General features: G+C 36.4%; 1 long non-coding RNA gene across 1 annotated transcript in view, besides 3 other annotated features; it reads right to left on the reverse strand.

Moving 5' to 3' along the window:
* Positions 1-18144, reverse strand: part of ZFHX4-AS1 (ZFHX4 antisense RNA 1) — a 72397-nt gene that overhangs the window by 51998 nt on the left and 2255 nt on the right. Inside the window, exon 2 of the long non-coding RNA NR_024360.1 lies at positions 9951-10157. This is a non-coding gene — a long non-coding RNA (ZFHX4 antisense RNA 1). The remainder of the gene's footprint in view (positions 1-9950; positions 10158-18144) is intronic.
* Positions 10042-10542: an enhancer, noted in NCBI's record as "NANOG-H3K4me1 hESC enhancer chr8:77585153-77585653 (GRCh37/hg19 assembly coordinates)". NCBI's record gives its function as "activates a minimal SCP1, AML or CMV promoter by ChIP-STARR-seq in primed H9 embryonic stem cells {active_cell/tissue: H9 hESC(primed)}" and the evidence as "EXISTENCE:reporter gene assay evidence [ECO:0000049][PMID:30033119]".
* Positions 10778-11072: a silencer, noted in NCBI's record as "tiled region #233; HepG2 Repressive non-DNase unmatched - State 21:Repr". NCBI's record gives its function as "represses a minimal TATA promoter and a strong SV40 promoter by Sharpr-MPRA in HepG2 cells {active_cell/tissue: HepG2}" and the evidence as "EXISTENCE:reporter gene assay evidence [ECO:0000049][PMID:27701403]".
* Positions 15220-15369: a silencer, noted in NCBI's record as "silent region_19304". NCBI's record gives its function as "represses an Ori minimal core promoter by ATAC-STARR-seq in GM12878 lymphoblastoid cells {active_cell/tissue: GM12878}" and the evidence as "EXISTENCE:reporter gene assay evidence [ECO:0000049][PMID:35858748]".

The following is an 18144-nucleotide window of genomic DNA, read 5'->3' on the forward strand; positions in this document are numbered from 1 at the left end:
TAGATATATGTTGGTGTAAATCAGGAACTTTCAGTTCACTGTTATTCTAAACAAGCAAGCCATAATCTTTGCTAGTTCTGTTTCGGTGAGGCCGTCATAAATCTACCACACTGTACTGTCTTCTCAGAATGCAGTCGAAGATTCAAATATTTGAAAGTATAGAGAACTATACATACAGAAAGTCTATCTTCCAAGTCAGTAATCTCAATCACCTGTGGGGCATATTTCATTTTAACAAAATCTTAATAGAAATGCCCTCATCATGTGTAAAAGCTAACCCTTTATTGTTATACTTTATTGAAAAAGACCTTTTCTGTTACCCTAGACAAATGAAATAGGAATGGACACTCTTTTCAATGTATACATATATGTCGCTTGCATACAATACCTACTAAATTAGCCAGGATGGACTTTAGTGAACTAAATGTAAACCTTGATTCAAATGGCATAAAACATTTTTCTCGATTTGCCACTGCTGATATTTAATTTGCTTTGATCTAAACCTGCTAACATTATCCAAGTGGATGGAACAACTAAGATTCATTATTACGGATTTACTTTTAATACTGAAGGTGTCTGTTAAAAGGAAAGTAAAATAAATGAATAAAAATACTTAATTTTCAGTCTTCAACCTTAAAATGCTATATTGAAACCAGAAAAAAAATTAACCTGTTCCTTTCTTGGAATTATACTTTATAGTTTTGTATTTATTGAACGCATTCATAGGCTCCCTTAGGATGTGAAATGTATGGAAATATATGTGCATTACTAAAGAAAGAACTAAATTTATTCTTTCCCCACATCATGCTCTTCTTTGCAGTAGAGGTTTTTAATTCAATACAGAGCTAGAATGAGATGGAGCCAATTTCCTGGTCTATATGTGTGACAAATGCTGAAAGTGGCACAAGATTAACAAATTAGTTGAAGTATAGATCTTAAAAGATTTTTTTTCTGTGTCTCTAAATCAAAATTCATACTTTATTTGAAATGAAGCCTTCTTTATAATTCAATAATGAATAAGGATATTTTATTTCTTTGTATTTAAGATGAAAAATGAAATATATGACAACATCATAGCAATTTTTTAAAGCAAATGTTTTATTTGTAGGAGAGCTTATAAAATTATATATCTGGAATATGAAATTAGTATAATTAGTATCTGAGGTTAATAACTGCAACGTATAGTTTGCTAAATCTGTAAATTATTTTCAAAATAGATAGTTATTCTCAAAATAAAAGCAGAAAATGAAAAGCAGAGGTACCATTTATTTAAATCTGTATATTTATGGTTAAAATATGTTTAAAAGGAAAGGTCCTAGATAAATGTACTTGCTTTTCTAATAACATTTGTTAGCTTGGTTCCAAGTAAACACTATCAGGCTTGGCTGTTTTACCTAACCTCAGAATCGTGTACTTGATATAATCCAGATATCTAACACCAAACAATAAAAACATCTGCGACAATAAAAGCATGTAACAGTTGTGGAATTGTTTAATTTGGGAGAAAATGGCTATGTTTAATAATCACATGTACATGAATTGATTTCTCCTCTTTGTCAAGAAACTTTTACATTTTGCAAATGATTTTTTTAAAGGAATCAACTTATGATGTGAAAAGCTTTATAAAAGATATTCTGAAATACATGTTTTGGAATTGGCTCACTCATTCCACTTTAGAACCTTCTCATGGTCCACCTGTTTTACTTGGGCTTAAATTATATAAAAATAACAGCATTTTAAAGCAAGCACAATCTTACTTGTTGTACCCAAACATGATAACACGCTTAAAATTCAAGAAGAGCTCTATGCAGGTTGTATTTCTCAGTCACCCAATCTCCTTTCACATATCTGTTCATGTTGACAGACTATGTCATAATACATCAACAGAAAGATCAGCACAGAAGAACAAAATTTCATCACCTGACAGCAAGAGGAAAACTGATTTTCAGTATTAAGTTTGTAAAAATATACCATTAACTCACTTCCAATAAGTCTAGTAGCTTTAAAAAATAGGGCATCTGCTATAATCACAAATATATGCAAAGGCAATTAGGTTTATGTCTTTGGTGTCACCCTTTGACTGACAGCCTATTTTCATTTGCACTTTTATATGATTTTTAACTCTATTTTGGAAGCAACTCAGATAATTTTTAAAAACTAATTTCTTAATGAGACATGTAGTTCTATGCATGTAAAAATATATCTACCAAATGTTTTAAAGACAGTCTTTCCTTATTAATCATGAGCAGAAAGCTACTGACCATTGAAATAGAAATGGGTAAAGCTTCTGATAAAAGTTAGGTATCTTTTATATACAATATCTTGCTCTGTGTATGGCTTTCAGTAGAAATTTAACAATACCTGTAATAAGTAATGTCTTTTGCAGCCTAGGACATCATCTGCCACTTAGGCTTTAATTTTGCCCCTGTTTGAACACCCTACAACATATGCACTTCTCTTTTGTCTATTATCCTAGAGTTGTGCTATTCCCAAATATTGACATCATCTACTTTTATCAGCATTAACTGCTCTGCAGCTTCCCAGGCTCATGCTCAGCTCTATTTCTTCCTATTGATTATCTTCCTCACTCCAGCAGGTAGCTAGCCAGCGAGGCTGTCCTGAGAAATAGCTTCCAATGACTTTATACGCACAATTTACACGGAATTGTTTAAAGAAGATATTAGCCTCAATACAAATCAGTGAACCTCATTTAGTCAATACTGCACAATTCCGCTGTTGGCACCCTGTCACATGTTCGTCTTCATAGTCAGCTGCCGTACCCAATCTGCACATTAGCCATAGTATTTAGTTTCATATTAAAATGAAGCCAGGTTTTTTCACTTTTGCTTTTCTTTTTGAAATCTTTTCAGTATACTTTTTACATCACCTCACTGAGCCATGTGATAGTAATATATTTTGAAATATAAAAACCTGAGATTAAATGTTTGATTTTTGACAGTGTTCTTAAATATAATAAATTCAAAAGGAAATACTGTTAAGTTAAAATGGAGTGTTTTTCATTAAGTCCAATCAAATGGTAGACAACAAAGGATCTTTTATTTGAGAATATGAAGTGAAAATGAAAACCAGAAAACCTTTACTAAGAAAAGGTCCAGCTAAATTATGTTGGAAGGAGGTCTCCAGATTGAGCCTGGGTGTTTCTTTTGCTAAAAGTGAATTAAACTAAGATATGCTCTAAAGAAATATCTTACAAAGAAACAAAACTTATGCTTTTTGGAGATGAAAATAAGGTCTAAGAACAGTTGACTTTGAAAATAATTCTAAAGAAAGATCACATATGAAAAAAATTGCCACAGTATCAGATCTTTTCTTATAATCATAACAGGGAAATGTTTAGAGTAAAGTAATGCTAGTCCCTTCTTTCTCTCCTATGGCAATGCTGTAAAATCCTAGAAAGAGTGTTTATATTTCAGAATTGCTCCTCCTTAAACTACTGGTTTATGATAGTTAATGAAATGATATCCAAATGTTGAAAAAGGAAAAATTCAAATGAAAATCTAAATGTGAACTATGAGGAATAACTAAGCAACATCATGCTACTCTGAATGTTTGTGCATCTATTGCAAAATGAACTGCAATACATTAAAATTCTTCAGTGGTAGTGTAATATATAAGTGGAGGTTTACATATAAAAGCTTTAGCTATCAAGAAAAGGATCATTATAAAATATTATCCTAAACGTTTACTTGAAAATATCATTAACATCTTAGAATACATTCTGAAGGTTGTCATTACACCTATTTGCATATTTTTGTAAACCGAAATAGGTAAGAATAAAGCACACCAATCAAAATAGTCTATTTGTTATAAAATTCATCCTCTAGCTTTAGTGGCTGAAAGGCAGAAAGATTTGGGGAACATGAGCAGCAGAAAAAATAATAATTCTAGTTTTAGAGATTTTTAAGGTCTGTATATGTCACATTTTAACTAAAAAGCAACAATTGAACAAAATGACGATTTTAATAAAAAGTGATAGTAATAGCAGCATTTTGAAAGTTAACATTCAGTAAAAATTATGTAATAAATAATTGTAAATATCTCAAGATTTTCTTTCTTTTACTACAAGATGCTAACAGTGATTTTTGTTTGACCTTTGCTTTATTTTCTTTTCTCTTTAAATAGCTTTAGTTAAGCCCAGGTAGAAAAGACATGCTAAAAGATAGGCAGACTGTCCTGACCACACATCTTCTCACACATTTATTGCAAACTGACACTCATACAACAGTGCTTTTACTTTTTTTAATCACAAAGATTCAACAAAGAACAATTCAGTTACCAAGGGAGAAATCACACTCCAGGAAAAAGAGAAATGTTGTAACTGCATATTCAAACTGCATAAATGCAGGTATGGCAAAGATAATTGTAATATTTGTGTGATAGCATTCAAAATAAGTCAATGACCTAAATATGAAAGGGTTTAGGTATAGTTATGTATATGCATTCATGTATAGAAATATTACATGTAATGCACAAATATAAATTCTAGCCCAAGCTACAATGCACAAACATTATTAGGCTTTTTCAATTTCAAATATATTTTGATTAACATGTATTTATATATTAAGTGTATTTCTACCAACTATGCTAGTCCATTTATCATGTAATATTCTTATATTAAATAAAGTTGCTTGCTTTATATATTGACAAACATAAGAATGTTCTCAGTAACGAAAATGTAAGCACAAACAATGGACATAAGATAGGTATTTAAAACGACTAACAGCAAAATAGTTAAAGATTTCAGAGAAATAAAAATGTTAATATTTTCTCCAAAACAGTTTCCAAATTAACAATAATGCTTTAAGTGTAAGTCAATGTTGGTTTCAATTTTTGTCAAAACATGAAAATCTCAAATAATAACATTCCATGATAACTTTTAAAAGAAGCTAATTTTCTTTAAATATTTTGTTTTAATTAAATTTCTAAAAGAGAAAATTATTTTTATTTTCTCGGTCCATTAAGACCTATCTGTAGAAGAAAACATGATGCTAAACCTAAAATTGTTATAAATTTTATAAATTTTCATATTTATGATGCATATTAAAGATTAATATTAAAGATCTATAGTGACCACCTGCATAGACTACCAAGATGATGCCAAAAAAAAAAAATGTGTATCATTTCACTGCATTAGTTTTACTAGCAAAATATCCTGGACAGATTCCAGAAATTTCAAATAAATATCTTTTTCATAAATATTTTGATGTGTATGATCTAGTCATAAAGAATATTTTACCGCCAAAAATTTAAAAGCAATATTGAATTCTATGAGATTGTCCTTTCTAGAAGTGTAAACTTAATGTATGCAAAGTAAATACACACACACACACACACACACACACACACACAAACACAGAGAGACATTTTGTCAGGAGACATTCTGTTTTTATTGTTAAAGTGAACTGAAAATGAACACATTAAGATGATTATTGCATTGTTATTTATGTAATTATGTAGCTTAAAAATACATAAACATTTCAGTTAGCCCTAATTTTACATATTTAATAATATAAGTATTGTTATTATTAATTTTTATAAGGTGAAAATATTTTAAAATATCAGCTAACATTTCTATTCAAATTCTAAGTGTTATTTAACTAAAAATATACAATGAAACTAGATAGCTAATTGGGTTTATTTCACAATATAATTTGATTCTTCTATATACAAAAATATGTATAACAAAGTACAATATTAAAGAAATTAATTTTAGCCTTTTTATAGAGTACTTTTAGACATCTATTACCATCTGTAGAAAACACAGATATATCGTACATGCATATATATGACTATGTGTATATGTATGCTGTTTATGTATTTTGCACAGAAGAGAAAAACATTGTCATAACCTAGAATAAATAATAAAGATGTGTGTGTATGTCTGTGTGTGCATATGTGTGTGTTTGTGTGTGGGGGGGCGGTTTATAGAGAGATGGAGAAAAAAATTGGTACCTTACAGAAAAGTTAAAGGTAGGATATTCACATGTCTGAAAGTTAATCTAAGGTTATTATGTTATATAAACATTATTAATGACTTATCTCTCTTTCTCTTAGTGTTTGGGGGGGTGTGTGTGTGTGCGCACACTAACAAGAAAGTGGATATTTGAGATGAGGGGAAAAGATAACTGTATGGAGACCTAAAATAAGGCACTTTGGTTAAAATTACTAAACTAAAACTTAAATCTATTGGGGTTTACTTTCCCAAAATATGAAATAATGAACCTATAAAATGGGCATTAGAATTACAATATATTTTGAAGATTTTCTATTGAAAACTTTCCCCATGTAAATGTTCTTATCAATACTGTCATATAGTACTATAAAATATTCTTAAGGCATGTATGACAATATCATGAAATAAACCCAAAAGTTTCATCTTGTATCACAAAGATGAAGAGTCTTAGTAAAGACAAAGTTCCTTATCATTTGATTCTGCTATAACTGTTTCAAACCTCCTACTGTAATGCTTTTTACGTATATCTATTTGTTGGTCTTCCAAATTTGTCCTTTTTTCAATATTCTAGGGCTGAAAAAAATATGACACTACATGTCAAGAATTTACACAGCTACCTAAGAGTTAATATTTTGGCCTTCTTTAAGACTATGCATTTAGTTAGAGCCTCAGTAATTCCAGTGTTACAGCACTCAAGTGATGGTATTAAATGCTTTCCACAGAAAAAGGACACCTTATTAGTAAGTGGGCATCATTTACTATGACCTGACTACTTAGATTTCTGAAGCGTGAACACACACGCACATATTTGTATAAAAACCACCTTATTTAAACTATTTACCCCTGTGAGGGTAGCAATATTTCTGGTTGTCATGAAGTTGACAAAAGACGGTACACAAAAAGTTGTATGTAATTTTCAAGTAGACATATTCATTTCCTAATTCCCAGACAATTAACAGGGATAAAACTATACCCTAAGACTCCTCCCTTCTAATGCTAAACTAATGATACAACGGAATCAAAATATATTAGGAGTGGGGGAGGGGAGATTGAGAGCCAAATACCTTTTTCTAGGAACCACAAAGGGTTGAGGGCCTAATTATTTCTCAGTATAATCCAACCAACCTCTTCTCATGCCTAGCTGCACTGAGTGACACTATTTGTGATGCCCAGTGTGCTGAAGCTGAGCAGGTTGCTGTCAGTTTAAAAATGACTATAATAAAAGTGACCATGAAGATGGATCTTGTGATTTTGCGTTTCTAATCAGTCATCTGTGAAGAACACTTTTGCTTTGATTCAGCAGACTGGTGACAGCCATGATTGATAGTGCACGAGGATGAAAAAAGGTTATTAACTGTCTTCCTATTAAGCTCAATGTATTACCCCTCTAGGTGCATCTCATACTTTAAGTTAAAGTACTTACTCAGGTAAGGTCAAGAATGAACTCTATGGAGATGGTATCCATCCTGTTGAAAATGAGTGAGGCATCCTTGCATTGATTTTTTTTAATGTAGTATTTAAACTATGTTTAATTCTACTATCTTATTCATCAGCTAAAGGAGAGAAATTTCCTCCTTCTAACAGCATCCATATGGAAAGTACTAAAAGTGTAAAAAATAGCTTTAAATGTAAAGATTTGAATGTAAAGCTAACTAGCAACATGTGTGTGGCATATACATGAATCTATATTTAAACAGATGGTCATATATTATACAACCTATGAAGGTATTTTTAATGGTAGACACTAAAATTGATTTATAATTAAAAAATAAATATTTGTGTTATAAATGCAAAAAAATTGTTTCAATTTTCAATCACCCATAAATGGCAAGTTCATGATAAAGAAAAACTTAAGAAAAATTCAAAGGATTTCTTAAAATACCTAGGCATTTGTTTTGGTTTAAATTCTTTAATATATTAACTTCATCTCATTTTAATTTTTTAAAATTAGAAATATTAACATAGAAATGAACACTTGAGTGACAGTATCCTTAAATAACATACTATATACACACACGCACACGAATAGTATTATAGATCCCGAAGTACTGAAAGTTTTCCATTAACTGAGGACATGCCATTAAAAGAAATAGTAAAATATTAAATGTCACCATATTTCCTGTGCTCATTTATTATTACAAAAGCCAAAGTATACTGAAATATTTTTGAACATTTTATTAAACTTATCTTTAAAAATATTTTAAATTTACAAATGTAGTTTCAGGAGATAACAAATTAAATATACGCATTTTAGTTTTAAATTACAGTATTATGTTTCTTCATATGTTTTCCACTGTAAACGCTCAGCACATGTTAAATGTAATGTGAATTAGCCAAAAATATTTAAGGATATCAATACCTTGGCATTGAGGTAGCCATTTAAGCAATAACCAAATATCAGCTCTGTGTGCTTGGCGGTTCTTCATTAAGCAACTCTGCACAGTAGCGCAGAATAAGAAAATATTACCAGTATGACATTAGAGTTTCAATGCAGGAAAAATCATATTATGTCCAAAAGTTTTTTCTAGGATATCATGACCTGTTTCTCTAGTGCCAGTAATTATGCCCATTTTGGTTCTATAATAAATTATATTTTGAAAATATACTGTTTTAATATTGGGATCTATCAACAATGAAACACAGAGAAAGTAAGGAAATGAAGTTCAAGATTTCATCGAATTTTTCTTTATAGCCTCAAACATTGGCTCTCCATCCTACTCTGCTTAATATTGCAATTGCTGCTTTTAAAAGCCTTTCTAGTTCTCTAACATTTTATGGATGCCAAGTATAATTTAAATACTTACACATTGAAAGCCTCTTCATAAAAATGTTAGATCAATATAAAAATTGTTTATTTAGTGAATCGTGTTTATGTGGAGTGGATTTAAGTGTAGATTTTGTAATTCATACAAGATTTCCTCAATAAGACACATTACCTTTGTTATTAAATAAATTTTCCTTTCTGTCCTATACAACTTCAACAGGCAAACTTGCATTCCAAAATTTAGAAATCATGATGAGATAAGTGACCTAGGGGGGACGTTTGGTCAATGATAGCATTCTATATTCTTGTACAAATATTTGTCAAAGGTTTCACAATGAAATTGTAAGTTAAGAAATATGTTGGGTGTTTCTCAAAAATATTGTTTGCTTTTAAAATAAAAAAGAACAATGCAATTCCAATCTATCTCATGGTAATTTACACAATGCTCTGAAATGTTAGTGAAATGCCCATCTTCCTTCATCTGCCTAATTCAACATTTCTTAAGGAAAATGAGGAAATACAAAGGCCAGGTAGGCCTTAGAGGAATACACACATTTCCTGGTGTCCTCTCTTTCTTCCCTTTATGGAATCAAGATCTAGAACACACATTACACGCAACACACCTTTTATGAAAGAACAAGGCAAAGACGGTTTCAGGTAAAGTTTAGGTCATCTTCAAGGAAGCCAATTACCATTACCATAGCTGAAATTAAAGTTGAGCAGACTCCAACAGTGGCAGACAAGAAAATTTTAAAATGCAACATCTTCCTTTATCCTTTTGGAACTCCAGAGCAACATCTTCCTTTATCCTTTTGGAGCTCCAGAACAGAATGTTGCATTAATGTTCAAACAAATAACAGAACTGGCAAACACACACACACACACACACACACACACACACACACACACACACACCTTGTTTGTGTAAACTCATTCCATTTAGTTTTGAGCCTATTGTGACTTGTTTTCATAGACTGCTGGGGCACAAGACATCTTTAGTTTACAATTCTAAGACTTGGATTCCTTTTAGTTTAAAACTCTTTTCTGCGGTTCCTGTTCCTCCAAGCCTATATGCTTCTCTCCTTCTCCTCCTCCCCTTTCTCCTCCAGAACCTACTAGGGCACATAAGGTAGGGGTATGGACTGGGTGGTGCACATATGTGTAGCCAGAACGTGGAGACCAGCAGCTGCTGTCCACTCCCAGACTGTGTACCTGAGCGCAGTGGCCACTCTGCTCTTCCGCCCAGCCCACTCCTGCCTGCAGTGTTGCTGCTGTCACGCCAGCCGGTGATTTGATAGGCTTGTCGGGTTGCCATGGTGTTGACTTCTTGCCTCTGAGGAGCTGCCCAATGACTGGAGGTCTGGGATTAAAGCGGGAAGAGGCAGCGGCCACAGCGAATTTCAGCGGCAGCTGCAGCAGCTAGAAACAAGAAGCAAGAGTACGAGGTCTTTAGGCTGCGTCCCCCTCCCGCAGTCAGGGCTGCCAGTGAGGGAAAGAGAAGAAAGGGTGGACGGTTGAAATGGTGATCACTCGAAGTCAGAAGATACAAGTGAGGGCTTTGAGACCCGCTCAGGAATAACTCATGAGCAATCAGCACGCGCTGAGAGGAAACGTCTTCCAGAATTCGTTATTATTCACATTAGACATTACTGGAGTGGGTGGTGGGACTGAGAGTAAAAAGGTGTTAAAAGGGACCTAAATGGTTGATACATTTCCCCCCACACCCTACTGTTCATTTGGGCAACGAAATAATTTCACAGATGCAAAGGCGCTGTACGGTGAACTTTATATCGTGGAAACTAACTTAACTCCGAGAAGAGAAAGTGCAATTAGACGGCAACCGAGTATAAGAAAATAGTTGCCTTGGACGGAGGCTGGCGGGGCGGGGGGAGCGGGGGCGGGGAAGTCAGAGAGTGCATGTGCAATGCACAACCCCAGACGGAAATTGTAAACTAGGAAATGAAAGGGAAAGAAACCGCTTCTGTTATAAATTAGTAGGTAGGTGAAGGTTATGCAAAGAAGAAAAGGGAAAGTAAAGCTGTTAAAAGAATAGAATAAAACCCCTGGGAGTTCAACTCGAAATCCCCCTTTACTCCCCAATCCAAAGGGAGTAGGAGGAGGAGAAAAAAAAGTGCATTCTGGTGTGATGAGAACTCTCTGGAATGTCTGGAGGAGAGGATAGAAGTGCGAGGGTAAGAAGACCCGGGTGCTAAATAAATGGCAGGAGAGAGAAATGGGGGAGGGGCAAGGTAGGAAAGAAATAGTCCGCGATTCACCCAAGGGACTGGGAGATTCAGAGAGATTCCAGGAGAAGGAAAGGAACATAAGTTCAGGCTCCCAGCGTAAGGAAAGGAGGAAACGACAAGAATCCCTAAGAGAAAAAGAGGAAAAAGCTGTGTGCTGCTGAGGCGGGGCGTGGGAAGACAACCACAGTCAATTGGAAGGAGCCCGAGTCAGGGAGCAATTGCTAGGACTTCGGACAGAGAGGGCAGAAGATTGTGTAGACAGGCGGTCAACCAGAGCAGCGCGGGGCAGGACCCACGAGCGCGAAGCCAGGTGCCGCGCGGTCCGCGCCCCGGCTCCGGGCGACGCAGGGACTTTGCTGGCAATGAGAAGGCTGCTCGACCAGCCTGCCGGAGTCACGATTCCCCGCGAGTCCCAAACACACGCTTCACTAACTACTTTACAGCCACTTCCATTGATTTTCTTTAACAAATAAACATAATACCCGTTACAGCAACACTTCCTCTTGCCGCCACAGCTAGAATGCCATAAGCTCTAATGGCTGCATTTCTCCGGACAGCAGTTTTCACATCTCCAAATAAATCGTTTTCCTTCACTTCAGGTTTGGAGAGTCTAGTCCTCGCCCCTCTCTATAATTTGGGAATCACCTTTAAGAATAGGTAGAAGACAAGTCCAGACACTAGTTTGTAAATCTGGTAGGGCTCACTCTTGTTTGCATATTAATTTTGCTTATAAGAAGTAACTCAATTTGGAAGGGAACCGCCGGCAAAGAAATCGACTCCTTTACATCTGCAGGGAAATCAACACTAGTTCGGCAGGCACACCTAAGCAACTGCCCTCGAGTTGTCTCTTAAAATATTCCTTTAAAAATAAAGTATTTATTTTAAAATAGCCCCCCTTCAAACACCCGTTTCTGCTGAGGTTCTTCCATACATGTCAAAGGGTTGTTGAATTATTCATTATTGTAATTACTATCATCATTGTCATTATCCCTTTCCATGTGGAAATAATTTTATTATCGTAATTTGATATCTGAAGAATTTCCTGTTAGTCGTTTGATAATCATTTTTTTCTGCTGAAAAGAAAAGTTTTGTTTATAAATGAGATAGAGAAAATGTTTTAAATGCTTTGATGTTTGCTATAGATTTCCGTTTATCTAATCGATCGGAATGCCAATAAAATCGATTAAAGGTTTAGTGTTTTACAAACAACCATTTTGTGCTTTTTGATTTTACGTTCAGAATGATTTTAATAAAGCTAATGCTTTCCTTTAACATTCTCCCCCCCCAAAGAAAACCTAAATCTTCATCGTTTTTCCTTTTATTATTAGAAATTGCCACTTACATTTCTCCTAATAGGAAAATAAACAAAAAATATAAGCAATGGCTGAAATGGTTTAAATTTCATTCTCTTATTGCTCAAGGTATTTAAATAAAGCCCTTTAAAATCTTGGTGAATTATATGCCATCATTCAGTGATTGCGGAATATTAAATTAAACTTAGATAAATCCGCATTGAAGGAGGCAGCACCCAATCCTGAATTTATTTCCCATTTTCTCTAACAGCATCACTGCGCTCCTCTTTGCAATGACAATGTGCCAAATCTGGGCATTTTGAAAACATTTTCCATATGCTTTAACAGGGGACTGATAGACAAAGAAGAAAAGGAGATGATCTTTTTGCTCTGAGGTATATTTTCTTTAACCTTTTTCTCTTAGACTTTAACTGATAATCATTTTAAAGCAAAAGTTTGAAAATCATTTAATGCATTTTTTTTCTTTCACCTTCTTTTTCTATCTTGTCATTTATTTCTGAATTGGTGTTTTGGTTATAATTTAATGTAAAGCTACCATTCCTGTATCTTGGCAAACCACATTTTCTTTCAAAATCTTTGATTCATTTAGTTTCTGCTAGTTGTCTTTTGTAATTAAAGATAGAAACAATTATACATTTTGTAACTTAGATTGGATGGGCTGTTTTGTTTGCTGTAGGATTTAAGAGTGCTCTTGTGTCTAATATTTAGGGACATTGCATATAGTGGTGGTGGCTTTTCTTCAGCTGTAAATATCTGCACATTTGTCTTAGAGATGTGGGTGTTTGGATGAATGCAATGTCGTTTTAAAATAATTTTATTTGGTGGCCGGAGTTTAGTATATTGTCTATACAGCATTTCATTGACTAGATATAGATGCTTTTAGGTCTAAAATATCACTTTATCTTCTGCTCAATGAAATTAGTTATTCTGTCTGTGTGTGTGTGTCTGTCTGTATCTTCTCTCTCTCTATTTGTCTATCCTTTCCCATTTGGATCATATCTTGGAGCTCTTCCCCAGACAGAATGTAACATTTTCTTTGGATACTCTTGCTGGAAATATCTCCATATATATTTGAGGAGGGTGTGATTGTGATCTTGGTTTTTGGTGGTGTGAACATGTATGTGTGTTGGGGGGAGGAATGTGATAAGGGGTCCTCATTAATTTGTACAAGTGCTGTGGAAGTGCTTATGAAGTTAGTGTACTGCTATTGTTTGGGGAGAGTCCTGTCTGATTTGTTTATAAACACTGGGCTGGTTGCCTAGAGGGAAAAGAGGTCACAGCACTGTCTGAGCTCTGACCTCTGAAAGACCAGAGGGCATCTGACTTTTCTCTTTCTTCTCCCTTTCCCTCCTCTCCTCCCTTAATTCTTCCTTCCTCAAACCCTCTAGCCCCTCCTTCTTTCCCCCTTCCTTTCTTTACCTGTGTCTAACTCTACATAATGACTCCCCTGCCCCCTAAAAGGTCAGAATCCCCAAGGAAAAAAAGAAAAAAGCTAAAACATTTACTCCAAAGTAGAAGCCAAAAATGGACTTTAGTCCAGGAATAGAGAAATACACATGGATATAGAGGTGCAGAGACAGAGACCCAGGAACAAAAGGGGGACATTTCTATGCTTTTTAAGAAAAAGAAGAAGACCATAAAGGAGATGCGAGTGTAGCTGGAGGAGGGGAGGGATTCAGGGAGGAATTTAACTGCCCACAAATACTACACACGTATATACACACTCAAAATGCCTTTCCCTTTTGAATTTTATTTCCTCTAGCTCACTCCCTCCATCAAAGAGAGTGTCCATTCTCAATGTTAGGTCATATTTTAAATCCCCCTTTTTTGTTAGTTCTTTAAAAATATATACCTTGTTCTGTATAGAAATCTTTGGCTCCCTCATCACACACACAGCCACACACACCCCACTATTTCTTGAATTATTTCACTGTAAATATAATGTGTTTATGACACCTTCCCAAACAAGCCCTGCACCTTTCCATTCATTGTCAACTTCACATCTCTCCCCTACATAAATACCCCCCCAACCCTGTCACTTACCTCGCCCCCCTACACACACAGTGACAAATATTGGTATCAGGCTTAAGTGTGTTTTGGAAAGGGGTTGCTAACTTAAACAAAAATGTTAGTTAACACACTGCCTTTGTTAAATAGCCCCCGGGTGGAGAAGACCCAACAAAAAGAGAAAAGGAGGAGGGGGGCTGAGGATCTTTAAGTGTCTGTGGTGATATAAAGAGTTCCTAACGCTGACATCTTGTAATACCTCGTTTCAAACTGAGCTCATCTATAGACCCCGGAAGCGCGGTCAAAAGACTGGAAACCTTTTTCCCCTTGGGCTGGAGTTGTTCTTGAGCTGGAGGGACATTGGGGAGAGGGAGGTGGGGTATTTATTAGTGAATTGGTGAGGACAGGGTGGGAGAAAGAACAAACAGCTGAAAACTCATTAGACCGATTGTGAAGAGTGTCCTCGGAGTGGATTTGGGAAATAAAATACGCCGAAGAAAAAGTCTAGAAGTGGAAATTACCTTTTGTCTCAATGTTAATTACTCCTTGCCTCCAACACTCAACACCTAACCACCTGGTAGTCCTTTTTGGTTCTCCCCTAACTCGGTGCTCAATGTCAGGGTCCGAGTGCTCTGCAGTGGATGTGGCTGGGCTGGGGTTGCCCTGTAAAGTGTTGAAGAGGATCTAGGGAAAGTTCTCGGAGCGGCAGGGAAACCTCTACTCCTTTCACTTTGAAATAAAAAGTGGCCCAACGTTCCGTGAGGGCGGCGGCGGGTTCGCGCAGAGTTTAGGGACAGTGGAATGGGGGTGGGGCAGGGAGTGGGAGTCAGGGTCAAAGGCGTCCGCGGAGACCCGAGAGGAGCAGCTGGGTTTCCTGGCGCTGGGAGCCCAGAAGTAGGGCGCAAGCGGCCGCGGCACAGCGGAGCAGCCAGGTCCAGCCGCTCGGATCGCGCTCGCGCCCCATAGCGGCCCGCGGGCTGGGCTCGGGCTCGCCCGCCTCCCCGCTCCCCTGCCAGCGGCGCCGCGCTCCGCGCCCCGGGGCCCACCCCACGCAGTCCCGCCGCCGCTTCAGCCCAACAGCCCTCCTCACGCTGGCGCGCTCCGAGGCCAAGCCCTGGAGGAAACTCTTGACTCTGCGCTAGAACCTCTCTGCCCCTTCCCTCAGCCCATTAACCCCCGACCCTCACCTCCAGCCTCTCTTCTTAGGGAAAAGGTGAAAGAAAACGAGAAAGAGATGGTAAACAACAACAACAACAACAACAACAACACACACACGTTAGGAGAATTCTCGCCAGCAAAAGAGGGGGTTGATAAAGTGGGCACCCCTTACAAATCCTCTTTTGTTTCCTTACTTAGAAATCAATAACCGCCCCCCACAACCAGACACACATACACACACACACACACACACACACACACACACACACACGGATACACACAGTTGTATTTTCCAAGAAAAGACGGGGGGAGGTGTAGAGGAGAAATAGCCACCAATTTTTTTTAATGGTTTTCTTGATTTGACGTTTGCTGTTTTGACATTAATGACATTAATGTTATTGATGTTTCAGGGAGGAAAAGGCAAAAGAAATAAAGAACTTGAAAACGAAATGATCATCATTTCCCTATTCTTCCATGCCAGAAATAGACCTCTTTCTTCACCTGAGCCTGAAACAGACTTATTGTTCTCAGGTGTTTCCTTCATCATATGCATTTACCCGTCTGAAGTCGCAGGAAATGGTTTTTCCATCAGTGAGCTTGTACATGGAGCCCTCTCCCGCAAAGGGCTTGATCTTTTCTGATTTGAACCTGAAAGTTTCCCTGCCTTCATTTCCCCTCAGTCTTTTTAAAATCTCCCACTCCCCTTCCCCATGCACACACCTCAAGTACTTTTTTTAAAGCCAGAAATTTTGCTCTCTGGGGTGTTTTTCAGTAAACAGTAACGCTACATAAACACCTTTTTCACTTACAAGTTGCAGAGAATTTAAATGTTACCCCTGTGTGCACGTATGTTTCTTAAGGCATATGGATAAGCCCCACTGAGGTGCAATCAGATACTGCTAGCAAATTGGTGATACAATTGCTGTGTAAAGGTGGGGCTGTAAACAAAGTAACTTTAAAATGTTAGAAAGCTTTCCACTTTCAACAAATTTCTTCCCAAAGAAGTTTAAAATCGAATAAAGTCTTTGGAGAGACAGATGATTTTCTTTCTGTTAACATTTAGTAGCCTTGGTTTCTAAAACACTAGTACCTGCCCTGACTCTGGATCCCTAAGGTGGTGATTTGCTTTTTTCTCTTAATAAAGACCATATCTAGGGGTTTTTTTCTCCACTCCATGCCTCTGGACTTTCATTGTAACTTTAGCCAGCTGCTGAAGGCAACCAGCTTTCCTGATCTGGGCCTAGGTCTGCTTTTTTGAGGACTGTGCTTTTATCCTCCCAGGTGTTTTGTTTGGTTTTTAATCCATTTGCATCAGTCCTAGGATTTTCCAAACGTTCCCTGATAATGCAAGGTTTTTGGCCTGGAAAGATGCATTTTTGCAGTCTCTGTTGTTCCAAATACTTGTGCGATAAATCTTTCTGTTGGTATTTGGTAGATTTGGTGCTTAAGGCCTAAGACAAGGTTTTGAAGCAGATCCTGGCGATCCAGAACTTCAAAGGCCTGTCAACTCAAAGGCAGCTGACACATCACCTGTCCAGGAAACTGGACATTGCAAGTATTTCCTGTTTTTAGTTCATTTGATTTGTTATTCTTACTTTCTCTTTAGAATTCCTATTTTTGAAATATTACATAGATGGTGTCTACCTGTGACCTGTAGTATAGTAGTGCGAAGTGCATCAAGATGCTGAGTAGCAATGCATATATATATATATATATATATATATATATATATATATATATATTTTTTTTTTTTTTCCATATATATATTCCAAATTCAGTAGGGGGTATTTAAAAGTATGTCTATTCCTAGTTTTAGTTAATTATCTTTTAATGAAAGTGTCACTCATATTCACATCTGTAATATTGGAAAGAGATAATTAGATTTTCAAATGAGAATCAGCCACCTTAAATTTTGCACCAGAAAATACCAAGTATATTTCATTCTAATGAGATCTGTAGTGGGGTTTTAAAATTCATCATAATGTGCTTCAAGAAAGATAACTCAACAGACTCAAAAGATGAAAGGTTTTTCTTTTCTAAGTCTTCTTAAAGTTATTACATTGAACTTATGCAATTCTGATAAAATATTCAAGAATATTACATAAAGGCTAGAACTGTACCCCACCCCCCCATCATTCTTGCAACCGTCACTTATTCTCATTTGGAAGTTTTCTTTGACTAACCGCTTCCATCTCCCATACCCTGGGTTTTCTCTCCTGCGTATACAAGTGAAGGATACGTGTTTAAATAGAGTGCCTAAGGATCCAGAGTGCAATTCCTCCTTTGAAATAGGCTGGGCTGAGCGGTGTTTGCACACAGCCAGGCACCCTTTATTTACATATATCTGCATATTTGCTCAGGCCCCCGCATTTCGCCATTAAAGTGCATTCATGTGCACAGCAGAATAAACTAGGCAGAGAAAAGCTCTTCATTACCCTAACTCATATTTCTGCTTAAAGCTCCCTAGTAAACAAATCTCTGGTCCGATAATAATTACTTTGCCTCATTAAAATAAAAAAAAAATCTCGAATGGTTAAAGGGCCATGCTTTGGCGGTATCTATGTTTTATTTCTTTCCCCTTCTTGCTCTGTGTGTGTCTGTGTTTGTGTGTAAGAGCGCGTGTGTGTCTAATGAAGTTTGGGAGTCGCGCGCAGGGGCGCGTAGGGTGCGAGACCCGGAGGT

Source organism: Homo sapiens, chromosome 8 (genome assembly GCF_000001405.40).
Source record: "Homo sapiens chromosome 8, GRCh38.p14 Primary Assembly".
In the NCBI taxonomy this organism is placed as follows: domain Eukaryota; kingdom Metazoa; phylum Chordata; class Mammalia; order Primates; family Hominidae; genus Homo; species Homo sapiens.